Source organism: Homo sapiens, chromosome 4, assembly GCF_000001405.40.
Source record: "Homo sapiens chromosome 4, GRCh38.p14 Primary Assembly".
NCBI classification, from domain to species: Eukaryota; Metazoa; Chordata; class Mammalia; order Primates; family Hominidae; genus Homo; species Homo sapiens.
Genome location: NC_000004.12, coordinates 73967111 through 73994559, shown reverse-complemented (window position 1 = coordinate 73994559; position 27449 = coordinate 73967111). Strand labels below are relative to the sequence as shown.

General features: G+C 38.9%; 2 protein-coding genes across 3 annotated transcripts, besides 4 other annotated features; both read left to right on the top strand.

Moving 5' to 3' along the window:
* The first annotated feature begins 6369 nt into the window (after positions 1 to 6369).
* PPBP (pro-platelet basic protein) lies at positions 6370 to 8121 on the top strand. The gene is made up of 3 exons (NM_002704.3): positions 6370 to 6604; positions 6908 to 7043; positions 7186 to 8121. Exons 1-3 carry the CDS (start codon positions 6457 to 6459, stop codon positions 7286 to 7288), a joined length of 387 nt encoding a protein of 128 aa, NP_002695.1. The 5' UTR covers positions 6370 to 6456; the 3' UTR covers positions 7289 to 8121.
* Positions 8691 to 9203: an enhancer, noted in NCBI's record as "OCT4-NANOG hESC enhancer chr4:74851074-74851586 (GRCh37/hg19 assembly coordinates)". NCBI's record gives its function as "activates a minimal SCP1, AML or CMV promoter by ChIP-STARR-seq in primed H9 embryonic stem cells {active_cell/tissue: H9 hESC(primed)}" and the evidence as "EXISTENCE:reporter gene assay evidence [ECO:0000049][PMID:30033119]".
* Positions 9204 to 9717: an enhancer, noted in NCBI's record as "OCT4-NANOG hESC enhancer chr4:74850560-74851073 (GRCh37/hg19 assembly coordinates)". NCBI's record gives its function as "activates a minimal SCP1, AML or CMV promoter by ChIP-STARR-seq in primed H9 embryonic stem cells {active_cell/tissue: H9 hESC(primed)}" and the evidence as "EXISTENCE:reporter gene assay evidence [ECO:0000049][PMID:30033119]".
* On the top strand, positions 12436 to 13749 carry PF4 (platelet factor 4). 2 transcript variants are annotated; one of them, NM_001363352.1, is made up of 3 exons: positions 12436 to 12902; positions 13017 to 13143; positions 13269 to 13735. In NM_001363352.1, exons 1-3 carry the CDS (start codon positions 12785 to 12787, stop codon positions 13354 to 13356), a joined length of 333 nt encoding a protein of 110 aa, NP_001350281.1. In that variant the 5' UTR covers positions 12436 to 12784; the 3' UTR covers positions 13357 to 13735. The 2 variants fall into 2 exon arrangements, with proteins under 2 accessions (NP_001350281.1, NP_002610.1); NM_002619.4 differs by having other exon boundaries at positions 12533 to 12697; positions 13269 to 13749.
* Positions 12840 to 13581: an enhancer, noted in NCBI's record as "H3K27ac-H3K4me1 hESC enhancer chr4:74846696-74847437 (GRCh37/hg19 assembly coordinates)". NCBI's record gives its function as "activates a minimal SCP1, AML or CMV promoter by ChIP-STARR-seq in naive H9 embryonic stem cells {active_cell/tissue: H9 hESC(naive)}" and the evidence as "EXISTENCE:reporter gene assay evidence [ECO:0000049][PMID:30033119]".
* Positions 26181 to 26682: an enhancer, noted in NCBI's record as "H3K27ac hESC enhancer chr4:74833595-74834096 (GRCh37/hg19 assembly coordinates)". NCBI's record gives its function as "activates a minimal SCP1, AML or CMV promoter by ChIP-STARR-seq in naive H9 embryonic stem cells {active_cell/tissue: H9 hESC(naive)}" and the evidence as "EXISTENCE:reporter gene assay evidence [ECO:0000049][PMID:30033119]".

Sequence of the window (27449 nt, the reverse complement as noted above, 5' to 3'; positions counted from 1 at the left end):
TGTCTAGCAGTAGTCCAACAAGGAGTTTGGCATGCACAATCCTCTCAATCTATAATACCTCCCCTCACTTTTACCAGGGTAGCTACCATCCTTCCTTCTGGAATAGCTTGCCTTTTACTTTCTTGAGGAAACCTCTCCAACCCTTACTCCTACCTTTGAGGAGGACCCTTTTATACCCTCTCATAGCATTCTGTACTTTTCCTTCATGAAGTTTTCTCACCGAAGTTACTGTAGAGTTTATTGAGCCTGTGTGTTTATTGTCATCCGTTTAAGGTCTCTCTGTTCTAGCTTCATGTAAGCCTCATGAGGGCGGGGACAATGCTTATCAACTTCATCTCAGTTCCTAGGACAGTGCCTAGCACATACTAGGTATTCAAAAAGCAAGTGATTTTGGCTAAACAAGTCCCCTTGTCACTCTAAAATTAAAAGAGCAATTTCATTTAAATACATATTCTTAGGTTATACTTAACATTTCCCTATCTAAATGACAAATGAGGTTCTGTCTCATCCCAATCTTGATCAGTACTTCAACTTCCCTTGTCCCTCAAATTTACTATATAAATACCTAAGAATAGGTATTTATATGAAATTGCTCTTTTATGAAACACAAGAAAAGGAAAGAAAGAAGATTAATCATATTAGTATGTATGTACATACATTCACACTCCAGTTGGATTACATTATACATGTTTATATTGGCATGTACTTGTATATATTAGAATAGGCTATGAGTCTTTTTTTTTTTTTTTTTTTTTTTTTGAGACCAAGTCTCACTGTCGCCCAGGCTGGAGTGCAGTGGCATGATCTTGGCTCACTGCAACCTCTGCCTCCCAGGATCAAGTGATTCTCTTGCCTCGGCCTCCAGAGTAGCAGGGACTACAGGTGCGTGCCACCCTGCCCAGCTAATATTTTTGTAGTTTTAGCAGAGATGGGGTTTCACCATGTTGGCCAGGATGGTCTTGATCTCTTGACCTCATGATCTGCCCGCCTCATCCTCCCAAAGTGCTGGGATTACAGGCATAAGCCACCAGAGTCTTTTAAAGAAGCTCTGGAAACAATATACTCTCTGTATATTTTCTGTCAATTACATAGTACCTATCAAAATATATGATGTATTTTCCTTTGTATAAGTATTCATCAATCAAATATTAATTTATTGATATTAATCGATAATCCTGTTACATGCCTATTATCTTTGTAGGATCCTTATGATCTGGAAATTATAAAGATGAGGAACTTTCAGTCTAAGTTAAGGTTTTCTGCTGCAAATATACTCAGTTTTCCCACAGAACAAATATTTTCCAGTAAGAAGAGTGGAAGAAAGGGGAGAAGAGGTGAGGGGAAGAACTAGAAAAGAGAAGACTAGAGGAGACAAGGATGAGAGGAGGAGGGTGTTGGAAGGGACTATGACTTGCCTGTTTTTTCCTTTCTATTTTCTTCCTTCTCTCCTTTTCCTTCTTCTTCTCTTCCCTCCCCTTCCCTTGCCTACTCTCCTTCTCTCCCGCCATTCCTCATTTCTGCTTATTAGTGAGAAGTTAAATAATTATATTTAAAAGAGTAGGAGAAGAACGCAGGTGCCCCAGTAGAAATCACAACCAGCAGCCAACACCAACAACCTCTCATGTGAATTAAGCCATTAAAATGTTGTTTTAAATTATTTTATTATTTTTCTTATTCTTAAGAAAATGTTGTGGGTACATAGTAGCTGTATATATGTATGGGGTACATGAGCTGTTTTGATACAGGCATGCAATGTGAAATAAGCATATTGAGAATTAGGTATCCATCCCCTCAAGCATTTATCCTTTGGGTTACGAACAATCCAGTTACATTCTTTATGAGTTATTTTAAAATGTACAATTAAGTTATTATTGACTATTGTCACCCTATTGTCCCACTCTTTATTTCAGCCATTTCAGCTGCTCTTGACTGCACTCAAGTGAGCTTAGCAGAAGAAACTCACGCTAACATACAGAATTATCAGAAACAATAAATTAATATTTTAAGCCACTAACAATGAGGTCGACTTATTACACAACAAAAGAGGATTAATGGTACTTGTTAACAATGCTCTAGAACATTATGTTAGAATTTCCTTAATGAATGAGCATGTAAGGAAACTAGGTAACTTTCATATATTTGAGATTTAACAAATGATATTAATCAACATAATTTAAAACACAAATTCTGAGTCTGGCAAAACTTTGAAGTATTGTATATAATAGCGCCCAGAAAGATACTTCCCCTCAACTTCTTCACCCTCCCCACTGTCCTCCCATTTTCACCCCATGCTTCACCTCTGGGCAGTAGACAGTAAAACCTCAATTCACATCTGAACAATTCTTGTCAACTCATAGTTATACAGTAAGCACATTTGGTTTCAGCCCTTACAGAAAAACTTTTGATGGCTAGTATTTTAAATTTATTGATTAAGATACTTTAATGAACAGACTCAACATTGTACTATCCTTAGCATTTTTGGTACTAATTGCTTTTATGATTGATTTGCTTGTGCTAGTCTATTTCCTTCATACTTGAAAGAAGGATTTGGGAAATGTGCGTTAAAAATGTTCTGTGTGAGGCAGAGAAGTCATTTATGCCTTAATTTTATAGATAGTGGTCCTCCAATGTCTCTAGATATTTTCTTTTAAAATAGCTAACATAAAATGTGCTTTGAGTCTTAGATAATTTGCTTGCTTCCTTCATGACTCTGCTATTTATAAGATGACTTAAAGAAAAAAGAGCTAAAATAACTTAGCACCCCCCAACACACACATATACAAACCCACAATGACAATGTAAGATTAATAAAAAGGCTGTCAAGTTATTTTAAAAACAAGGAACAAAATAACTCTTCTCTAATTCTAGCATTTATTTAAACAATAATTTTGCATAACAGTATGCTTTTAACTGAATAAGTTTTTAAAAACATCTTTTAACCAGTTTTGTACACTCAGTTTATCATCATCTTTACTGTGTTTCTCAACGTGGAAATGGAAGGGAATGATGCAAATGACAGTAACAGCAATTAACAGCAGCAGTTGTCATCATAGCAGCAAGAGTAGAGTATTTTTCATATCCCATTGCTTTCCACAAATATTTTAGGCCTGACTTTTAAAAAATAAATAATTAAATGACCAAGTCATGCAAAGAGAACTTCGTAAAACCTGTTAGGAAGTTCAGGCTTAATCAACTGATGCTTAATCAATATTTTTTGAGTTAATAAAAACTAGCAAAATATTGTTTTATATCAAATGCTGACTGATATCCTTAAGAAATTTTGATGACTCAAGAAATCTGTTACTACTTCCTCACGAATTTTGCCGACGATGTGTCTTTCGTGACAAGCCACATTTGTTGATTAAGACAATGACTCCATGATACTGGAGTCACCTCTTTCCTGGTATTAACCCACCAGTTGGTTTCCTGGTAGGAAAGAGCCTACCTTTTTCCTGGTATCAACTCACTCAAAAGCATCATTACTTCAGAAAACTTTTCATACAGTTTTCTTAAAACGATTAGGAACTTTTAGGAAATCTTACTAATGAACGAGGAAAGAAATCTGGATAACGTTAAGTAGGGGGAAAAAAGGTGTCCAGTGAAGCCAATAAACATTTTCAGCAATGTATTTTGGTGTTGAACAGAAAATGAAATATACTATGAATAGTGTTAAAAAAAAAACCTTTATATCTTGTTCTGGAAATGGCTTTGATCTTATGTTTGAAAATGTATATGACTTGCGAATTCACAATATCTCAATCTCAATAATGAAGAAAAGCTATAAAGTCACCCCACAGGAGGAAAGAGAAAGAAGTCTGCTCCCCTCATTTTGTGTCCTGCTGAGCTTATCTCTGCAATTAACTCCACATCTCAACTCTCAGAAGACTCCGAACTCTCAGCTTACACCCTTCCTTTAAGCTTGCTTAAGACTAGAAATTTCTATGTTGTGACAGGGAGAAAAATCATTCCAATTAAATATGCTCTACTGCTAAACTCTAATTTAAAGAAAACAATAAATGAGGTGGAGAAAAATAAGAAATACATTCATCAACTGAAACTAAGGCTAGTGAGGCAGAAATAATTTTATACATGTTTATTGAAAGCCAACTGGGAAGACAGACCTGGGAAGACACATCCACAAAGTTGGGGGTGTTCTAGAGTCTTTCACAAGTTACAAGGGCTTTATATAATAGAAAAGCTTAAAATAAGGCAGAAAAACTCCTCATACCAGAGTTGTCTTCTTTTTCATTGGAGGGTACAATACCGAAGTTAAAATCATTAGCTACAGATTACAGCATACAGGCTAAATGTCTACATACAAAACAATCAATAAAACTTTTTGTTTCAGCTAAACTTAGAAATAAATCATTGTCCTATTTAGTGTCAGTAGGTTCTACAGTAATTAGTACATCAATCATTTGAGGAACTCGTAATAAAATACTTTACTCAGAGATAGAATGTCACCATCAAGTCACGAAACCTTTCCAGGGCGAGTTAATTTGGAAGTCTGCTTACTTCTAAAGTAAACTGTCAAATGTGGTCTGTAGGTTATCGCATTTAAAAACAGGACCTGAGAACTTGAGTAGACATAGTAGATAACTATTAAACAATAGGGAAAATTGGCTTGAAAACAAAAACATGATTTAAAAAATTACTATATTCATCTTTTTGATAGAGAGTAATTTTGAACATTTAGTATTTTAAGCATTTCTTCTAAAATTTAAGGATATGAAAAGTAAGAAAAGAATATGGAAAATTTAAATAATATTCTGTGAGACTTATACATAGTTGTAAAAGGAAGAAAACTTGTTGCCAGTGCCACTTACATCTGCCTCTTCTTTATTGACAATCTTCCAAATAAATTTAAATAGCATAGTTGCTTTGGGTCCTGTCGAGTTTGGCCTGGAATTGTAGGTGATTAGAAAGGATAGGGAAGCTTTCATGTGATACGTATTCATTGATTTATTAATTATTTAAGACCTACTTTATATTGAAGTATCCTACATGTTATAGGATACATGAGACATTCAAACAAACACAGGACATGCCACTCCCTACAAAAGTGCATGGTTCAATTGAGGAAGGAAGTCTTACAGATGGGACAGAGAACCAGAAAATAACATAAAGCCAACATGTAATGTGTAGGTCCACCTCTCTATCTTTGTAGGGATATAGCATTTCAGACCAAAACCTTTAATTTGGGTCTGAGAATTCAGGAACAAATATTTTCCTTGGTAAGGACATTTCTTGCACAATTTCTAATAGTGCAAAATTGGAAACACCGTGAAGGGCACCAACAAGGCAAGGTTGAGTAACTATTGTTCTTATCACAGGACGTCACATGGTCATTAAGAAGAATGGGGGAAAACTACATTAAGATGACCTGAAAAGATAAGGAACACATATTTTTTGAAGGATAAAAGTCAGCTGTATAGTGATCCATATACAATACTTCTATGTATATGTGTACCTCTATGTCTTAAACGTGTCTCATTGTATACATATACATGTGTGCATATAAGTGCAGACAGAATTGAAAACTAATGCAAAATTGTTACCAGTGTTTACCACTGAATAGTAGGAATGTGGAGAAATGATGAAGAGAAATTTGTGTTTTATTTCAAAGACATCTGCAGCATACGAATCTTTTGCAATAAATTATATAATTTTTCTGTTAAATTAAAAATAAAAAGAAAAATAAATATGCTGGGTCCTACTTTTTAGGTATTCTTAGGTGGTAGAAACAAGTAGCTTCTTTTGTAATATAAAGGAGGATGAGTTTCATTTGTAGTTTCTAGATGAAATTACAAAAGATAATATAGATTGAAGGCAGAAAGAATCCAATAAGCTAAAATCCAAAGACAACCTTTGACGGTAATTGGCTCTTATTTTACTTACATGCTCCAAACCAATCCCAATATTTATCAACATTCATGAAAAGAACATTTGCTTTCTTTGGCAAGCAAAGATAACTTTCTCTTTCAAGGGCCACATGTTTGTGCCTTCAGGTGCTCCTAAAGTTTCTATTAAGCCTAAAAACTGCAGTATAGAAAAGGCAGGGCGTATTGTTATAAATCATACAAAGAAAATGCATGTAGTATTTCAGTCTAGTTCTTACCTTCCTGAACGGAGTTCTTACACAGGTGTAAGGAAGATAAGTATTGAGAAAGGGAGAGTGGGAATGTGAAGTGATGCACATTAAGCAAGTTAGTAGGAATTTGACCTGTCTGGTCTTTCTCTGGGTTGGGCACAGCTTCAAATGCTTATGTGTGTATCACCACATACCCTCACTTCCTCCTTTCCTACCTCTTCCTTCTTACTGGCTTTGAGAAAGAGCATATAAATGACATCTTCAGGGCATGAGAAGCCACTTATCTGCAGACTTGTAGGCAGCAACTCACCCTCACTCAGAGGTCTTCTGGTTCTGGAAACAACTCTAGCTCAGCCTTCTCCACCATGAGCCTCAGACTTGATACCACCCCTTCCTGTAACAGTGCGAGACCACTTCATGCCTTGCAGGTGCTGCTGCTTCTGTCATTGCTGCTGACTGCTCTGGCTTCCTCCACCAAAGGACAAACTAAGAGAAACTTGGCGAAAGGCAAAGGTAGAGGCCCTGCTTCTCTGCACTTGTTGCTGCTTCTGCTACACCTGTCTCTGGGGTAAAGACTAGCTTGGTGCCTTTGGGGCTGGAGAGGGCCATTATACCAATAACTCCAATTGGAGGAGACACACAGGGGGGTCACTTCTCACTTCTTGTGTGCTGGGCAATCTTCTGGGCACTTTACTAAAGCGTTACAGATCATATTCACAATGGCTTTATGAGAGAGGTACAATTGCCCTCAATCTGCAAATAAGAGACCTGAGGAAAATATTCATGACCACCAATAGGTCACATTTTCTACCCTAGAGGAAAGTCTAGACAGTGACTTGTATGCTGAACTCCGCTGCATGTGTATAAAGACAACCTCTGGAATTCATCCCAAAAACATCCAAAGTTTGGAAGTGATCGGGAAAGGAACCCATTGCAACCAAGTCGAAGTGATGTAAGTTGCTGTTTCTGTGCTATTGCCTTATCAGAGAAACCCTCTACCTCCATCCACATATGCACTCGTTTCCTCCAGTCTCATGGATTAGTTCTGATATTCAGATCAGGACACCCACAGATAACCCTGTTCTCTTTTGCAGAGCCACACTGAAGGATGGGAGGAAAATCTGCCTGGACCCAGATGCTCCCAGAATCAAGAAAATTGTACAGAAAAAATTGGCAGGTGATGAATCTGCTGATTAATTTGTTCTGTTTCTGCCAAACTTCTTTAACTCCCAGGAAGGGTAGAATTTTGAAACCTTGATTTTCTAGAGTTCTCATTTATTCAGGATACCTATTCTTACTGTATTAAAATTTGGATATGTGTTTCATTCTGTCTCAAAAATCACATTTTATTCTGAGAAGGTTGGTTAAAAGATGGCAGAAAGAAGATGAAAATAAATAAGCCTGGTTTCAACCCTCTAATTCTTGCCTAAACATTGGACTGTACTTTGCATTTTTTTCTTTAAAAATTTCTATTCTAACACAACTTGGTTGATTTTTCCTGGTCTACTTTATGGTTATTAGACATACTCATGGGTATTATTAGATTTCATAATGGTCAATGATAATAGGAATTACATGGAGCCCAACAGAGAATATTTGCTCAATACATTTTTGTTAATATATTTAGGAACTTAATGGAGTCTCTCAGTGTCTTAGTCCTAGGATGTCTTATTTAAAATACTCCCTGAAAGTTTATTCTGATGTTTATTTTAGCCATCAAACACTAAAATAATAAATTGGTGAATATGAATCTTATAAACTGTGGTTAGCTGGTTTAAAGTGAATATATTTGCCACTAGTAGAACAAAAATAGATGATGAAAATGAATTAACATATCTACATAGTTATAATTCTATCATTAGAATGAGCCTTATAAATAAGTACAATATAGGACTTCAACCTTACTAGACTCCTAATTCTAAATTCTACTTTTTTCATCAACAGAACTTTCATTCATTTTTTAAACCCTAAAACTTATACCCACACTATTCTTACAAAAATATTCACATGAAATAAAAATTTGCTATTGACTTGTTGTCATCTATTATTAATTTTAACAGGATTGTTGGGGAAAAAAAGCTTTAATTTTCCTCTCTTTTTTGTATACTTGGTATTTCACAGTTTGAACAACAAAAGTTACTAAATTGATGATCGGTGTCATTCTTAATGTAGTATGATAACAGTTCCAATTTATTAATCATTTTAATATGCCAGGAATACTAAGTGTTTTCCATGCATGAACTAAACAATTTTTTAAAAGATAGATATGATCTGGTTAAAAGAACATCCTCTGGAGTTTGAATAATGAGGTAACCTGGCTCTGCCACTTGTTAGCTGTGTATATCAGGTCATGTTGCTTAATTTCTCTGTACCTTAGGTTCTTCATCCCTAAAATGGGGATAATATTGCCTCCCTCATAGAGTTTATGGAAGGATTAAAAAAGTTAATAAATTTAAGGTATTTAAAATAATGTGTGTCATAAATAAGCCACACATAAATGTTAGTAATTATTTCTTATGATTATTATTATCCTCCCCAGTGTTACAGAAGAGAAAAATCAAGTTTATAGAGTTTAAAATACTTGCCCACTTTCAGATAACTAAGTAGGTAACAGAGTGGGAATTTCAAATTGTGCTCTTAACCACCACACCACAGTGCTTTCCTCAACTCTTCTTTCTCTAATGAAGAGATTACATTACATATAACATAGTATTATTCACACATGTAATACAACTTGATACATAAATAGCATACTGTATATACTATAATAATTATAGGGTATCAGGCATCTCACTCATTATGTTTAGTGGTTTCCCACTGAAACTTGACAAGACCAGCTCCTGAGACATGGCACAGTGTTGACACCATGCTTATACCTCCCGAGATGCAGATGTCTTCTGTTTTTGAGTGCATGTATTGAGTTACTCTGTTTACATGCAGAGAAAGAATGATTCAGTTGCCACTCAGGACCACCTGGATTCCTTTACACTGCAAACATTAAAATCTGGGTGTAAGACTGTAAAAACCCAGCGTGTTGCCCATCCATATGCAAAATCATCCCTCCCCTTCATTCTCTCTGCTGTTAACTCAGAAGGGGCTTCAAGTTTCAGGTTCATAAACACATATGAATTACAAAACATTCTGCAACAGCCATTGTGTTGGATACAGGATATTCAAAAATACAGTCATGTTTTGCTTAACAATTGGGATACATTCCGAGAAATGCATCATTAGGTGATTTTGTCATTGTGTGAACATCACAGGGTGTGCTTACACAAACCTAAATGGTATAGCCTACTACAAACCTAGGCTATATAGTACAGCCTATTGCTCCTAGGCTATAAGCCTGTACAGCATGTTACAGTGCTGAATACCATAGGAAGTTGTAACACAATGGTGAATATCTGAGTATCTAAACATCTGTAAATGTAGAAAGATATAGTAAAATTATGGTATAAAAGAGTAAAATGGTACACCTCTGTAGGGCAGTTACCACAAATGGAGCTTGTAGGACTGGAAGTGGCTCTGGATGAGTCGGAGTGTGAGTGGTGAGTGAATGTGAAGGCCTAGGACATGACTGTACACTTCTTTAGGCTTTGTAAACACTGTACACACTTAGGCTACACTAAATTTATAAAAAATATTTTTTCCTCAACAATAAATTAACCTTAGATTACTGTGTTTTTTATTTATAAACTTCTTAATTTTTAAACTTTTTGACTTTCGTAATAACACTTTAAACGCATTGTACAACTGTACAAAAACGTTTTTTCTTTATATCGTCATTTTATAAGCTCGTTTTCTTTTTTATCTAGTTATTTATTTATTTTAGAGAAGAGGTCTTTCTCTGTCACCCACACTGTAGTGCAGTGACATGATCATAGCTCTCTGCAGCTTCAAACTCTTGGGATCAAGTGATCTTCCTTGATCTTCACTAAAGATGTGCACCATCATGCCCAGCTAATTTTTGAAAATTGTTATTGAGAAGGGAACTGATTAGGTACCCAGGATGCTCTCGAACTCCTGGTCTCAAGCGATCCTCCTGCCCCAGCCTCTCAGGCTGGGATTACACTCATGAGCCATAGAGCCTGGCTAATTGTTTTTTGTTTTGTTTTGTATTTTTTATTTTTCACACTTTTCTGTTAAAAATTAAGATGCAAAAACACATATCAGCCTAGGCCTACACGGAGTCAGGATCATCAGTATCACTATCTTCCAGCTCCTTGTTTTGTCCCACTAGAAGCTCTTCATGGGCAATAATATGCATGGAGCTGCCATCTCCTATGACAACAGACAGATGATAACAACTCATACTTCCTGAAGGATCTATCTGAGACTGTTTCACGGTTAATGTTTTTTCTATAACTAGTAGAAAGAGTATATTCTAAAATAATAATAAAAAGTATAGTATAGTAAATACATAAACCAGTAACATAGTTGTTTGTTATTCTTATCAAGTATTGTGTACTATACATAATTTTATGTGCTATACTTTTATAGAACTGGCAGTGAATGGGTTTGTTTACACCAGCATCCCCACAAACATGTCAGTAATACACTGCTTCCTATGACTTTACAACCATGAGGCAATGCGAATCACATCACTAGGCAACAGGAATTTATCAGCTCCATTATAATCTTATGGGACCATTGTCATATATGCAGTCTATTGTTGACCTAAATGTTATGTGCTGCACTACTGTATGTAAGTCACAGAGAATTGCACTTGAAAAGATCACTATGTGGTGGGAGAGGCAGATAAGTAGGCAAATAATTGCAACTATATATTACACATGTTAATATAGAGGTATACTTCAATTGCTTGAAGGAGCAAATACATGGATATGTTAAAACTTCATCATCATCATTTTCAACACATCATCTTCGCTAATGTGGCACTTTGAATTGAGTCTCTACCAGTACACTGAAACAGTGATAAATGTTATAATCTCTGATTTCATAGTGTTTTCCAGTTTAGGAAACAAAACCATTTTTAACACTATGAAATACACACATACACACACACACATACGTATCTCTGTGTAATATATATATATGTGTGTGTGTGTGTGTGTGTGTGTGTTACCTGTGAGAAACAGGAAAGACAGAGTTCTGCAAGATAGAAAGGCAAGAGAACACAATTACATATAGTTGTCAGGGAAGGGCCCTCTGAGGAACTGACACTTAAGCTGACTCCGGAAGTATAAATAAGTCTTAGTCAGGTGAAAAGGCAGGTAGTGGGAGAGTAGGAGGAAGAAATTACTCAGCTCAACAATTAAATTGCATATTTCTATAGAAGTCCAGTCCTACCACATATTAGAATATCAGCTTTCCATGCAGTGGGCTCCTGACACCCTTTACCACTGTTAATAAGTGTGATAGAGAACCTCTGGCTTTGGGTTAAGGGTGTACCTTGCCCTAATCAAGAGCCAAAGTCATTCTTTCTCAGAGAAGGGAAGACTGTCCATATGGATCTCTTCCCCTTTCCTATGTGGGATTCTATTGCATCCCCTCCACCGTCACCTCCCATCATTCTCACATTCAACTCCCAGATGCCTTGAATCCTCCTGCAGAGAGCATCACTGCTCCCCACCAACAGTGCAGCTCATCTCACCCTGTCACTAGCACTGGCTGAAGACACAGCAGGCACTGGGAGACATGGCCTGGCAAACTCTTCTTGTCCTCTCTTCTGGACTGTTATTCAGGATGGAAACAATGAAGAAACAGCCAGGCACTAAGCTTTTACAAAAAGAATGCATTCAAATATTACTTCTGCAATTTTTCCAAGAGTACGAGTAATGGGAAAATAGACCTTGCGTCCTACAGCATACTGGGTGATTGTTGGTGGAGCCTGGTAAATACCATCCAGAGACTAGGGAAGTTTTCCACATTCAGGTGAAATTCAAAAGAGTCATCGCCTAGAGACCAAATTAAACTTATTAGTAGCAGAAAATAATTGCGAATAACACATGCTTCACACACAAAGCCACCAAACTCAGTAGTAATAATTGGTAGTTGCAGCTGGGAGGTTGGAAAGGAAACAGGAACTGTCAGGGTCCTGAAAGCACCTACTGTGTAAGTTGCATGATGACAGCAGAGAACTCTACTGTTAATACAACACAAAAAACATTCCTTTTCTGACTCAAGTTCTGTTTCTAACTCTACAAACGTGCTTGTATGTAAGTTGAGGTTGGAGGTCCCAGCCAAGGCAGCTGCCCAGAGCCTTTTCTTTCTTTCTTTCTTTCTTTCTTTTCTTTTCTTTTTTTTTTTTTTTTTTTTTTTTTTTTTTTTTTTTTTTTTTTTTGGTAATCTTGGCTGGCCAGAACCCAAGTCTTCCCAGTACTATCTTAGTTTCCGCACCGCAGTTCCTCGGTGTCCACTTCAGGCTTCCGGACTGGAAGGACAGCCGGGAATAAAACGTGCCGGCGAGGCTCAGGAGTCATTGGCCACAGAGACCCAGCCCGAGTTTCCCATCGCACTGAGCACTGAGATCCTGCTGGAAGCTCTGCCGCAGCATGAGCTCCGCAGCCGGGTTCTGCGCCTCACGCCCCGGGCTGCTGTTCCTGGGGTTGCTGCTCCTGCCACTTGTGGTCGCCTTCGCCAGCGGTGAGAGCAGAAGCCAGGCTGTGAGGGCTGGCAGCGGCGAGGGGGAGTCCGGGAAGCCCTGGGGCTGGGGAGGAATCCTCTAGGATCATGATCACAGCCACACTTAACGGAGAGCCTGCTGAGTGTCTGGCCACAGTGCCAGGCGCTGCACCTGCACCTCCCACCTGGTTAGAACAACTTCTGTCTGGGGGAGGTGTGATTTATGGTAAGGAAAAGAAGGCTGAAGGTAGTGGAAAAAGTCCCTAAAGTACCTCTGGCTACTCATGGAGTCACCACTCCCTCCCCTCCTCCTCTCTTACCCTCTCCATTTCCCCCTCAGCTGAAGCTGAAGAAGATGGGGACCTGCAGTGCCTGTGTGTGAAGACCACCTCCCAGGTCCGTCCCAGGCACATCACCAGCCTGGAGGTGATCAAGGCCGGACCCCACTGCCCCACTGCCCAACTGATGTGAGTCCTTGCACTGCATCTGTCAGTGCTCCCGCTCCGTGCCTCCTCTGCCCAACCCTCCCCCTTCTAATGCCATTTGCAAACCCAAGGACTGAAAGTCACATCTCTTCTCTTTTCCCTGCCAGAGCCACGCTGAAGAATGGAAGGAAAATTTGCTTGGACCTGCAAGCCCCGCTGTACAAGAAAATAATTAAGAAACTTTTGGAGAGTTAGCTACTAGCTGCCTACGTGTGTGCATTTGCTATATAGCATACTTCTTTTTTCCAGTTTCAATCTAACTGTGAAAGAACTTCTGATATTTGTGTTATCCTTATGATTTTAAATAAACAAAATAAATCAAGTTGTAGTATAGTCAAAATACTTCTTAATAATAGTGCAAAAATTGTGTTGACACATAACAATTTCATGGAAGAAAAAAATTCCGGTATTTTAAGCAAAAAGTATTTTGAAGGAAGGTGTGAATACTGGTTATGCTTGGTGTTACATGTTGGCTGATACATATTCATGCATTTACATGATTGCAGTACTTTATAGCTACATATTTACCTTGACCATTATTATTACCTTTGCCAATAAATATCAGTAACACAGATGGCTTTTAAAAAATTAAGTAAATAAATAAGACTGTTTTTATGCCCACAAATTCTGGAAACAAGGAGACGTACTAGATGATGTTTTTATTCATCCCTCAGGAAGGCACTGCTCTACTCTGGGGAGAAAGGAAGTTGTTGCAGTGTTGGTATATTAGTTACCTATGGCTTCTGTAACAAATCAACACAAACTCAGTGGCTTAAACAATACAAATGTATTATCTTGCAATTTGGGGGGTCACAAGTCCCAAGTGGGTTGAACATGCTGAACTCAAAGTATGATCATAGCTGTGTTTCTTCTGAAGGCTCTAAAAGAGAATCTATTTCCTTTCCTTCCTCAGCTTATAGAGGCATCTACGTTCTTTAGCTTATGGGCCCTCCATTGATTTTCAAACTGCATCACTCCAACCTCTGCTTCCATTGTCACATCTCCCCTCTCTCCTCTGACCTTTCTGCCTCTAACTCTACCTACCTCTCATAAGGAGCCTTGTGAATACGTTGGACCTGCTTGGATAATCCAGAAACCATTTCCATCTCTGGACATTAAAACATCTGTGGAGACTTTTTTGCCATACTAAATGACATATTCATAGGTTGCAGAGAGTAGGGCATGGGGATCTCAAGGGTGGGGGGCATTATTCACCCTACCACAATGGGTCAGAAGGCAGAATCTAGCTGTGGAATGAGAAAGCTGCAGTCATTTTTCATGAGCTAATGTAATTTTTACCCAAGGTGACAATGTTTGTGTAGACATAGGATAAAAATCCTAAGAGAAAATAGAACATGGTGCCATTCAATCTCTTTGGTGGTGGTGGAAAGGGTGGGTTTTTAGGATGACAAACTAATTAAGAAAAACATAACTTATAGATGCTTAGGAAATGCCAGAATATCATCTAAAATTCCCACACCCACATTGCAAGTTAGAGAGTATTATTCCCAATATAGAGGTGAGCTGACAGTCTCGGGGAGGACACAGCTTGGGAGAGGCTGAGCGGATAAGTCTGACTCTCAACTCCCTCCTCTTGCTTTCACATTGTGCTGCCTTTCACACAGGCAAGTGGCATGTTAGCTGATTCTGCAGACAGGAATTGTTCCATGAACTAGCTCTTGAAGGGGGCGGAGGAATTTGCCAGGGGGACAAAGGGAAGACAGGAACTGTCACCAGAAGAATAATATGTAAAAAGACACTAGATAATTCAGTCATTTGCATGTTTGGACAACAGTTCATAGTTCTGCAGGGCTGGAATGGAGAGAGAGAGTGAAGCATGGTCTCTCAACTAGTTTTCACCCCCTTGGTATTTTTCACCTATAATACAACTTATGCACTGCTACCCATATTATTTTTCCAAACACAGATAGAAATATTTCACTCCCCTGCATAAATCATTCCAGATCCAAAGTCCTTAGCATGACACTCTACACTGTGTCACACTCACTTTCCCTCTGTGCCTTAGTTTCCTCATCTGTGAAACAGGGATATTATGAGTGGCTACTTTATAGATGATCATGAGGACCAAAGTCAATCAGTGCTGGAATGCTGGTGCCTCATAAGTTACTGCTTAAGAATTACCTTGATCTAACTATACTGAGAACACTTTCAAGTTGCCACCTTTATCAGCAAGGGCATGGGAAGAAGCCTTTCCTCCTGGGAAAAGCTCAAGTCACACAGAAACTCCCTGTTGTTGTTTCAACAGTCATGGAGTGATAAAGTTTAAATTTACTTAAACTCCCTGTGAGTTGTAAGCAGTCATCAGAAAATGTTCACAAACTAGACACTTACTGCTTAGTCATGGGCTCTATCAATAAAACCAAACCACCAAAGGATATTTTGTTCTTGGAAGCTGTTCTGCATTTTTGTAATTTTTCATTTTTTTCTTCTAAGGACTGTGGTAAAAATAGCTTCTTCTGTAATGTATAGAACATTGAAGGTTTAGTTGGTTTTAAATATGTATCCCTATTTTCTCTTTATAAAAGACAATTCTTATTTATTACAAAGAGCAGAAAATATAGAAGAAATAAAAATATTTTTCATAAACTGTATTTTCTCCACTCAATTTTTTTATTTTTGAAAATATTAGTCATTTGATATCCTTACAAGTTGAACTGCTAACTTCTAATAAAGTATTTATTTGTACACACCATAAAGAAAACACTTAGTAATTTACTTAATTATATTGCTATTAGTTTGGGAGCATTCCTGTCCAAATTTTCAGAGTATGAAAGCATGTTACAGGGTAATATAAAATGTTTTCCTTGGCTGGAGAACAAATAGCTAACTCATGTGATATTGCATTCACTTATACATATATAGTCCTGTGTATATTTATATTCACTGTATCTATGTGTGTATGAATGTATGCATGTTTTTCTACACCTTTACATACATATAAACTCACACACACATAAAATGAGTTTACAATACAATACTTATACCTGTTTTGTACTATGCATCCTGATATTTTATTTTCTATCCTATCCTATCCTACCATATTCCACTTTTTAGAAGATGTTGGCCACAACTCTATAAAATTATTTTATAATCCACTGATGTGTCATGATGTGTAGTTTAAAAGCACTAATCTAGTTCATTGATTAAAAGGTTAGGTTCTGATGGTCCATATTGGAGTCCACACTTCAAGCAAGATGCATGGGGGAGTCAGTAAGAACAGGATGCTGAGGACCAACTGGATAGTTAAATCTCCTGGTCTGTAGTCTTCCTTCAATTTCAATCTCCATCCCTGATCTAGGGTTGGAGTCTGGGAAACCCATGAAAAATAGCTTCTGTGGTAAAGATGTCACTCCAAACAGGATATTGTCTGGACTGCTGGGATTCTAAGTCCTTTTTAGCTGGGGCTACAATTTATATTCATTACCCATCTACTTCAGTCATGTACATTCTAGTTGGTTCCTAATGCACAACTTAATAGAGGACTAAAAATACATTGATTTCTAGGAAGACTTAGATAAAAAGCAAGCATGTTCACAATTAATGGACTTAAGTAGCTGTTTTATACCTATTTCCTCTTCTCATACGGCTCTTTTCCCTCTTAGTCCTATAGATGCTGGCACTAGCCTAGTGAGCTTTTGTGTAAGTTTGGGTTATATCTCAACTTTGATTCTGTGTGACCCCAAGTCTCCTCAGTTTCCTTATCTGCAAAATAAGGACAATAATGTCCACTTCATAGGGCTCTTGAAAGGAATACATCACACTTATAATAGGACACAGCATGGATTCTGACTCAGAATTGGAACCTAATAAGTAAATAGGACTTTTATTCTCTTTCCTTGGAGTTTCACCACCAGAGCGTATAACATTTCCAGTAGTGACAGCCACAATCTGTGAGCTAGCAAGCAACCTGTTGAGAACACAACCAACAAGAACTTCTCCTGCACAGAACCACAATCAAAAGAAGACAACAAGTTAAGAAGATTTTAACATGATAGACCAAGGTGGTGTTTTCCACTTACAGTAACAAATAAAAGAAAATCAAATACCAAAACCACAATGTTGATGGGGAGTTTATCGTGGCTAACTAAAACCACTTTATGCCTGCCTCCTCCACTTAGAAAAACCAGAGCAGTATATAGACAGTGACAGTATGAGTACATTATCCAAGAGATGATGTTGGAATTCAACAGAGAAGTAACAGGAGAAACTAAAATCTGAGAGGAAGGAGGAGAAGAGGCAGCCTCCTTTCCCAGGTTAGGCTAGGAGCTGGGAGTGACTTCCTAATGCAAAGAAGGGGCAAGTAATAGACTTCTAGCAGTTCATATCCCCACTGTGAAATAGTATAATCCTCGCCATGAAAGAGCCCTCTGACCCTCCCAAACCCTGAAACTAACATGACGACCAGCCAGGAGACTGTGGGATGGAACTGCTCCAGCGAGGGAGCTCACACTAGGTTCCACATTCTTTCTGAGAGATAAGTGGCTACAGCAACTAGCTTCTGCCAACTTCATGCTATCCTGGGGCCCAGCAGTGCTGGGACTGGGGCGTTATGAAAACTTGGGTTGTCACTGCTGGGACAGGAGAGCAAGTAGGGATCACTCTCATTGCCAGGGCTAGGAAATGAGCTAGGCCTGAGAGGCAGCAACTAGTGCCAGGAAGTGAGTGATCTGAGGTGGGGTCACGAGGTGAGGGAAAGTTGCTGCTGGGACTTGGTTGCAAGCTGAGTGAGGGCTCTTGAAGCCAGGGTAGGGGAGGCAAATCCCATAAGGACTAGGGTTTGAAGGGCTTGCATGTTCCCCATCTGCCAGCACAAGGATGTGACCAGAGGGATGCCTCACCCTCTTCAGTGGCAAGCCCTCAACAAAGCTGCTTCTACCCGTGCCCCATACACTCTGCCTGGGACCTGAGAATTGCTCTCCTGTTGCCCCCCATGGCTAGTGCCTACTCTCACCACCAGGGTGCCTGAGCACAAGCTATCCAACCTAGCCGCACCACCACCTCTTCAACAAAGCACATAGCCTGGGGTCCTGGAGACTGTCCAACCCAATCCACCACCCTGGGAACTTAAGTAACTCTTTCAGGGGCCTGGGGTGTGGTCTAAACTCCTAGCTGCTACCCCTTCAGGTGGCACCTACCTCTCAAATGGATATGCTGTGGGCCTGGATACCAGTGCACCCAGCCCACTGTAGCCACTGCCAACATCAACACACACTGCTAGGGACCCAGAGAATTTTCTCTCCAGTGCTACTATGAATGCCCATGTCATGTCAACTGTCTAGAGGCCTGAGAACCTGCCCACCTATTGATCTACCATTGCCACTACTGGCCTCCAAGCATGCTGCCTAGAGGCCCAAGAATTAACACACTGGTAAAAACCAAGACATGTAGCAGTGTGCACTTCCCTAGGGCATAAAGATAGGCATACTCAGCCAACTGCTACCACCGCTGTGGCCTAAAGACTGGCCCACAAAACATACTAGTCCACAGCAAAATTTCACCAATCTCCATTAATGACTGCACCCTAACTCACCAAGGAAATCACAAATACTACTAATGTTGTTTACAGCCAAATAAATCACCCAGAGACTATGCTACTGTGTACCCAGAATCACAGCCAAAGTGCCCTACCCACTGAATACCATAGATACATCTCCAGAAAACAGTCCTCCTCTACTAAAAGTAAATGTCAAAATGGAAGAAGCAACTGTTATACTACATGTGTGGACATCAATGTAGGCACGCTGGAAACACAAAAAGCAAGAAAATATGACACCTCCAGAGGAACACATTAATTATCCAGCAATAGATCTTTTCTTTTTTTTCCTGAGATGGAGTCTGGCTCTGTTGCCCAGGCTGGAATGCAGTGGCACAATCTCAGCTCACTGCAGCTCTGCCTCTTGAGTTCAAGCAATTCTCCTGCCTCAGCCTCCCCAGCAGCTGGGACTACAGGCATGTGCCACTGTGCCTAGCTAATTTTTTTATTTTTAGTAGAGATGGGGTTTCACCATGTTGGCCAGGCTGGTCTTGAACTCCTGACGTCAGGTGATCTGCAAGCCTAGGCCTCCCAAAGTGTTGGGATTACAGGCGTGAGCCACCATGCCTGGCCAATAGATGTTAATCAAAAAGAAAATTTAATTTCCCAATAAAGAATTCAAAATATTGTTTTTTTCAAAATATTGATTTTTTTTTTGAGACAGGATCTCACTGTGTTGCCCAGGGCTGGAGTACAGAAGTGTGATCTCAGCTCACTGCAACCTCCACCTCCTGGATTCAAGTAATCCTCTCACCTCAGCCTCCCAAGTATCTGGGACTACATGCATGTGCCATCATGCTTGGCTAATTTTTTTTTTAGAGGTAGGGTTTCACCATGTCTCCTATGCTGGTCTCAAATTCCTGAGTTTGAGAGATCCACTCACCTCAGCCTCCCAAAGTACTGAGGTGTGAGCCACAATGCCTGGCCAAAAACATTGATTTTAAGGGATCTCAGTGATATTCAAGAGAATTCTGAAAAATAACACAAAAATACTTAAAAAATTCAGAATATGAATGAGAAATTTACCAAAGCAACAGATATTTTCAATAAGAACCAAATAAAAGTTTAGAATTGAAGAATCCATTAAAGGAAATATAAAATACATTTGAAAGGGTCAACAGTAGACTAGACCAAGCAGAAGAAAGAATCTTAGAACTTGAAGATAGGTCTTTTGAAATAATCCAGTCAGACAAAAGTAAACAAAAAATAATAAAAAAGAAAGAGCAAAGCCTTTGTGACATTTGGGACAACATAACATGACAAGATAAACAAATTGTCAGTATTACTAAGGGTGAAGAAACAAAGATTAGAAAACCTATTTAATGAAATAATAGATGAAAATTTCCAAAGTGTAGCAAGAGATTTCAACATTTAGATGTAGGTGGCTGAAAGAAGCCAGGTAATACAATGCAAAAAGGTATTCCCTATGGCTGTCTAAAGTCAAAGTTTTTTTTGTTGTTTTGTTTTTTGTTTTTTTTTACTTTTTAATTACAGCCATTCAAACTGGTGTGAGATGGTGTCATATTGTTGGTTTGATTTTCATTTCTCTAATGTTTAGTGATGTTGAGCATTTTTTCATATGCTTTTTAGCCAAATACATGTCTTCTTTTGAAAAGTGTCTGTTTATGTCATTTACCCACTTTTAAAGGGAGTTGTTTGGTTTTTGCTAGTAAATTTCTTTAAGTTCCTTATAGATTCTGGATATTAGACCTTTGCCAGATGCAGAGTTTGCAAATATTTTCTCCTACTCTGTATGATGTCTGTTTACTCTGTTGATAGTTTCTCGCTGTGTGGAAGCTCTTTAATTAGATCCCATTTGTGAATTTTTGCTTTTATTGCAATTGTTTTTGGTGTCTTTGTCACAAAATCTTTGCCCATTCCTATTTCCTGAATGGTATTGACTTTTATCTTCCAGGGTTTATATAGTTTTAGGTTTTATATTTAAGTCTTTAACCCATCTTGAGTTGATTTTTGTATCTGGTGTAAGGAAGGAGTTCAGTTTTGATCTTCTGCATATGGTTTGCCAATTATTGCAGTACAACTTATTGAATAGGAAGTCATTTCACCATTGCTTGGTTTTATCAGGTTTGTCAATGATCCAATGATTTTAGATGTGCAGCACTATTTCTGGCTCTCTATTCTGCTCCATTGGTCTATATGTTTTGTTTTGTTTTTTAAACCAGTACCAGACTGTCTTGGTTAACATAGACTTGTAGTATAATTTAAAGTCAGGCAACAAGATACCTCCAGCTTTATTATTTTTGCTTAGGGCTACCTTGGCTATCCAGACTCTTTGTAGCTTTCATATAAATTTTAAAATATTTTTTCCTAGTTCTATGAAGTAAGTCATCTGTAGTTTGATAGAAATAACATTGAATCTGCACATTGCTTTGAGCAGTTCAGCCATTTTAACAATATTGATTCTTTCTAACAATAAGCATGGAAACTTTTTCCATTTGTGCCATCTCTGATTTCTTTGAGCAGAGTTTTATAATTCTAAGTGTAGAGATCTAATAGTATTCCTAGGTATTTTATTCTTTTGTGGCAATTGTGAATGGGATTGCACTCCTGATTTGGCTCTCAGTTTGACTGTTGTTGATGTACAGGAATGTTAATAATTTGTGCAATTGATTTTGTATCCTGAGATTTTACTGAAGTTGTTTATCAGCTGAAGGAGCTTTTGTGCCGAGATGATGAAGTTTTTTAGATATAGACTCATGGCATCTACAAACAGGGATAGTTTAACTTTCTTTCTTCCTATTTGGATGCCTTTTATTCTTTCTGTTGCCTGATTGCTCTGGTCAATACTATGTTAACTACATGTGGTAAGACAGGGCATCCTTGTGTTTGTTTTAAAGGAGAATGCTTCCAGCTTTTGCTCATTCAGTGTGATGCTGACTGTGGGTTTGTCACAGATGGCTATTATTATTTTAAAGTATATTCCTTCAATGTCTATTTTATTGAGGGTTTTTAGCATGAAAAGATATTGAATTTTATCAAAAGCTGTTTTTGCATCTATTGGAATAATCATGTGGGTTTTATCTTTAGTTCTGTTCATGTGATGAATCACATTTATTGATTTTCATATGTTGACCCATCCTTTATCCCAAGGATAAAGCCTACTTGATCATGGTGTATAAGCTTTTTGATGTGTGCTGGATTTGGTTTGCCAGTATTTTGTTGAGGATTTCTGTATCAATGTTCATCAAGGATATTGGCCTGAAGTTTCTTTTTTTGTTGTGTCTCTGTCAGGTTTTGGTATCCAAATGATGCTGGCCTCATAGAATGAGCTAGAGAGGAGCTCCTCCCTCAGTATTTTTCGAATAATTTTGGTAGAAATGGTAACAGCTCTTCTTTATACACATGGTAGAATTCTGCTGTGAGTCTGTTGGGTCCTGACTTTTTTTGATTGGTTGACTTTTTATTACTGATTTGATTTTGAAACTTATTATTGGCCTGTTTAGGGATTAAAATCTTTCCTGGTTTAGTCTTGGGAGGGTGTATGTGTCCAGGAATTTATCCATTTCTTCTAGATTTTCTAGTTTGTATGCATAGAGGTGTTCATAGCAGTGTTTGATTTTTCTTTCTGTATTTCTGCAGGGTCAGTGGTAATGTACCCTTTGTTAACTCTAATTGTGTTTATTTGGGTCTCCTATCTTTTCTTCTTTATTACTCTACCTAGTGGTGTATCTATTTTATTAGTTTTCAAAAAAACAACTTCTAGATTTCTTGATCTATTGTATGGTTTTCTGTGTCTCAGTTTCTTTCAGGTCAGCTTTAATTTTGGTTATTTCTTGTCTTCTGCTAGCTCTGGGGTTGATTTGCTCTCGCCTCTGTATTTCTTCTAGCTGCAATGTTAGGTTGCTAATTTGAGATCTTTCTAACTTTTTGATGTAGGCATTTACTGCTATAAATTTCCCTCTTAATACTGCCTTAGCTGTGCCCCAGATATTCTGGTATGTTTTATTTTTGTTTTCATTACTATTAAAGAACTTCTTGATTTCTGCTTCAGTTTCATTATTTACTCCAAAGTCATTCAGGAGCAGATTGTTTAATTTCCATGTAATTTTCTGATTTAGAGTGACTTTCTTTGTATTGATTTCTATTTTTACTGTGCCATTGGCTGAGAAATGTGGTTGGTATTATTTCAATTTTTTAAAATATTTGAGGATTGTTTTATGTCTGATTGTGTAGTTGATTTTAGAGTATGTGCCATGTGGCAATGAAAAGAATATATATTCTGTTGTTTTGGGTGAAGAGTTTTATAGATGTCTATTTAGTCTCTTTGGTCAAGAATTGAGTTCAGCTCCTAAATATGTTTGTCGATTTTCTTCCTCAATGTTCTAAAACTGTAAGTGGATTGTTGAAGTCTCCCACTATTATTGTGTGACAATATAGGTCACCTTTTGGGTCTCCAAGAACTTTATCAATCTGGGTGGTCTTGTGTTGGGTGCATACGTATTTAGGACAGTTACATGTTCTTGTTGAATTGAATCTTTTACCATTATGTATACCCTTCTTTGTCTTTTTAATTCTTGTTGGTTGAAATTCTATTTTGTCTGAAATTAGGATTACTATCCCTGCTTTTTTCTGTTTTCAATTTGCTTGGTAGATTTTTCTTCATGCCTTTATTTTGCACCTATGTGTGTCACTGCATGTGAGATGTGTCTCTTGAAGACAGCATACCAATACATCTTGGTTTTTTAACCAGTTTGCCATTCTGGGCCTTTTAATTGGGGCATTTAGCTCATTTACATTCAAAGTTAGTGTTAATATGTATGGATTTGATCCTGTCACCATGTTTTCAGCTGGTTATTTTGCAGACTTGTGTGCTTGCTTTATAGTGTCACTGGTCTGTGTACTTAAGTGTGTTTTTGTAGTGGCTAGTAAGAGTATTTTCTTTCCATATTTAGAGCATCTTTCAGGACCTCTTCTAAGGCAGGCCTGGTGGTAATGAATTTCCTCAACATTGCTTCTCTGAAAAGGATTCTATTTCTCCTTCACTTATGAAGATTATTTTAGTTGGATATGAAATTCTTGGTTGGAAATTTTTTCTTTAAGAATGTTGAATATAGGTTCCCAATCTCTTCTGGCTTGTAGAGTTTCTGCTGAAAGGTCCACTGTTAGCCTGATGGAGTTCTCTTTGTAGGTGACCGTACCTTTCTCTCTATCTGCCTTTGACATTTTTTTCTTTTATTTTGATACTAGAGAATCTCAAGATTATGTGTTTTCCAAGTTGCTTGCTTTCTCTCTGGCTCTTTCAGGGACACCAATAAGTCATAGATTTGGTCTCTTCATATTATTCTATGTTGCTCTGATATTTTGTTCATTCTTTTTTATTGTTTTTGCTTTATTTCTGGCTGACTGAGTTATTTCAGAGTCAACCTGCAAGCTCTGAGATTTTTTTCCTCCACTTGATCTATTCTGCTGCTAATACTTGTGACTGTATTACAAAATTCTTGTAGTGTATTTTTCAGCTCTATCAGATGTTTTTTAAAAATATGATTTAATCTATTAGCTCCTGTATTATTTTATTGTGATTGTTAGATTTTTTGTATTGAATTATTTAATGGTCTCCCAAATCTCGATGATCTTCATTCCTATCCATAATCTGAATTCTATTTTTGTCATTTCAGCTATTTCAGCCCAGTTAAGAATCCTTGCTCAGAAACTAGTATAGCCATTTTCAGGGAATAAGACACTCTGGCTTTGTGATTTGCTAGAGTTCTTTTATTTGTTCTTTCTCATCTGTGTGGATGGGTTTACCTTTAACTGTGGTATAAATTGAAGACCACCAGTAGACTTCTTTTTTAGATGCTTTCAGAGGGCCAAAGCTTTTTGCAGGGTCCTTATTTTTAGCTGAATTCTTGTCATTGATATCACAGAAGGGTATATTAACAAATTATTTTTGGTGTTGAAATTTTGGGCTGCAATCCAGTAGGTGGTACTTAAGTGTAATGGCCAGTAGGCAAGCTTTTGCTCAGTCACATGGCTTCTCTGTATTTCTTCATGACTATAGCCATGCTCCTTCTCAGCACTCTGAAAGTAAGAGTTCCTCTCTCACTTCAGTGCTGGCTGAAGATGTCAATTTAACACTGCTGGGCTGTGTATCTCAGCTCTGGGGCAATGTCAGGCTTTATGTTCCCTCCCAAGCTTAGAGGTAACAGGGGAAAGGAACTTTGCAGTGGTTGTGATAGAGAGTCTTTCACTTATCTTTTGGGGCTCCATCTTGAGAGGTGTGGAGCTGCTATCAGTCAGTGTGATCAACTTGGGTTGCGGCAGCTGTCCTGTGAGCCCAAGCCAGGGAGGCATACCTTGTGACAAGTGAGTGGCGGGGAAAGAGGGCAGACAGACCAGTAACCTCTCCATAGGGCAATTAATGCTTGCTCAAGGTGCAGTTGAAGCACTAAGGGTCTTTGCTCATTCCCCAGGGCAAGGGCAGAAAGGGCAGTACCACTGCAGTGGCAGTGGTAGAGGGGTTTTCAGTAGCCTCTGGGAACTCTACCTCTGAGAACCATATAGCCACAGTTCCTGGGAATGTTCAGCCAGGGGTTGAGGTGGCTGCACTGGTAGCCTGAGCTGAGGACCCCTCCTAGTTGGGGACTTGGGGGTTGAGGGTTTACAGGGAGGAGAGACTGGCTTCCTCTCTGTATAGTGACTATGGTGTGCTGTAAGCTTGGGTGAAGCCCTCAGGCTCAGTTTCTTCCCCAGCCTGTGAACAGAAGAGACAGAACATTGTTGTGACAGTGGCAGAAAGGAACATTGATTGCCTCTTGGAGCCCCTTCCCAGGAAATTCAGAGCCACTACCAGTGGGTATTCTCAGCTGTTTGTGGGGCATCTAAACTGTGGACCTGAGCAGGGGCCCTGCCTGCTGAAGAGTGGGTGCTGGGGGCTCACAGGGAAGGTAGACTGAACTCCTCTCTGTATGGTGGCTGTGGAGTGCTTGGGTGCCAGTGAAGTGACTAGGCCCTTTGTTCCTTCCTCAGCCGAAAGGTGGTTAGGGCAGTACTACTGCAGCTGCAATGGCCAAGAGGTTGTGGGTTGACTCTGAGATTTCCTCCTCAGAGAAATGCTGAGCTGCCCCCAACTGAAGTGTTCAAGTGGGGGCAGGGTGGTTGTGCTGGAGTCCAAGGTTAGGAGGCCTCACCAACTAAGGAGAAGTTGGGATGAGAACCTGCATGTAAAACAGTCTGGCCACTTTTTGATGAAGCAGCTGCACTGTGCTAGGGTTACATGTTAGTCCCTCGTCACCACATACTCTCCAGAGCCTGAAGGCAACAATAGTGAGGGCTGTGAGAAAGCAAAGATGGCAGCCTACCACTCCCTTTAGGGGCTCTGTGTCATGGAAATGCAGAGCTGCTACCAACCTGAGAGCCCTGATGGGAAGTGGTTGGAGTCCCAGGTTGGGAGCTCCCATCCACTGAGGAGAAATGTGGGATCCACATAAAAAAAAGAGTCTGGCCATTTTTCTGTGGGACAGCTGTGCTGTGCTGGGGGTTTGTGCCAGTCCCTAGTCACTGTAGGCTCTCCAGAGCCTGAAGGCAACAACAGTGAGGGCTGCAAGGCAGGAAAGTTGCTGCCCCCTTGCCCTGGAGATCTGTCCTGGGGAAGTGCAGAGCTGCTACTAGCCTCATAACCCCAGTGGTGGGAGGCTGGAGTCCTAGACCAATGGGTCTCATCCTGTGAGGTGCAGTGTAAGTGAAGCCTGTAGACAGTTGCTGCTCAACCCCCTGGATTTGGCTCCTTTCCTGGATGTGTGTAAAGGAGACTAACTTCCCCCTTTGCCAGAGCTGAAGCCACTAATGCTGGAATGCCTGGGGATCAAAGGCTTTTGGGACTTTGGCTATGCCTCAGCAGTGGCTCTGCTGAGACTCCCATAGCTTTGCATATCAGTCTGAAGGTTTTTGTGGGATGAGCTCACAAGGGCATCTCCTGAGACCAGGGCTTGCAAAGATCTATGGACCAAGTGTGTGTCCCAGGGTTTCTCATTCTCTCACCATTTCCCAGTGGTCGGGGAGCCTCCTCTGGCTCCATGCCACTGTCAGGTAGGCATTAATCTATTCTTGCTCCTCTGTGTTCTCCTTGGGTTGAGTTGTTTGTTTGATGAATCCCTGGGTTTGTGCCCACCTGGGTGTTTCAATTGAAGATGTAGTATTTATTCACCACTTTTTCTTCTCTTTGTGAAAGTAGTGCACACTAACTGCTTCCAGTCAGCCATTTTGGCCATCATGTAAACTAAAACTTTTTAAAAATATTTTCGCTCCCTCTTAACATTGAGAAATGGCAGATTAACTGAATGGATTTGATCTCCTTGACAGGCAATACTGTCATAGATGTGAATTCTATATCCATTCACCTAAGTACATCTGTGGTTTTTTAGATCCCTTTAAAATTAGAGAGAAAAAAGAAAGTAAACAAGACTCATGGAGACCTGACATCTCACAGTAATACTGTGGATTATTTCAATTACTGCACTTCTAAACTCTATGTATTATACTTATTCTTCATTCTGAGTGTTGAAATGATGACTCAATCTTCATTTACGAACAATAAAAGAAAGATATGATGGAATATGAATATGGTTGCAGGACAATATTCAGTCACAAAACATTTACAACAGCAAGTTAAAAGCATTATATTTTTATGTGTCAGGGCATGTGGACATTTTGTTGGTGTAGGGGTTTGTCCTCACATAAATTATTAAGCTATTTCATCAGTTATAAACATCTTATG

Bases quoted from the DNA above. Each gene is read 5' to 3' on its own strand.
- PPBP (NM_002704.3), top strand. From the start codon at position 6,457: ATGAGCCTCAGACTTGATACCACCCCTTCCTGTAACAGTGCGAGACCA. The intron at 6,605-6,907 runs GTAGAGGCCCTG...TTTCTACCCTAG, and splicing joins AAACTTGGCGAAAGGCAAAG to AGGAAAGTCTAGACAGTGAC. The intron at 7,044-7,185 runs GTAAGTTGCTGT...TCTCTTTTGCAG, and splicing joins TGCAACCAAGTCGAAGTGAT to AGCCACACTGAAGGATGGGA.
- PF4 (NM_001363352.1), top strand. From the start codon at position 12,785: ATGATCACAGCCACACTTAACGGAGAGCCTGCTGAGTGTCTGGCCACA. The intron at 12,903-13,016 runs GTAAGGAAAAGA...TTTCCCCCTCAG, and splicing joins TGGGGGAGGTGTGATTTATG to CTGAAGCTGAAGAAGATGGG. The intron at 13,144-13,268 runs GTGAGTCCTTGC...TTTCCCTGCCAG, and splicing joins TGCCCCACTGCCCAACTGAT to AGCCACGCTGAAGAATGGAA.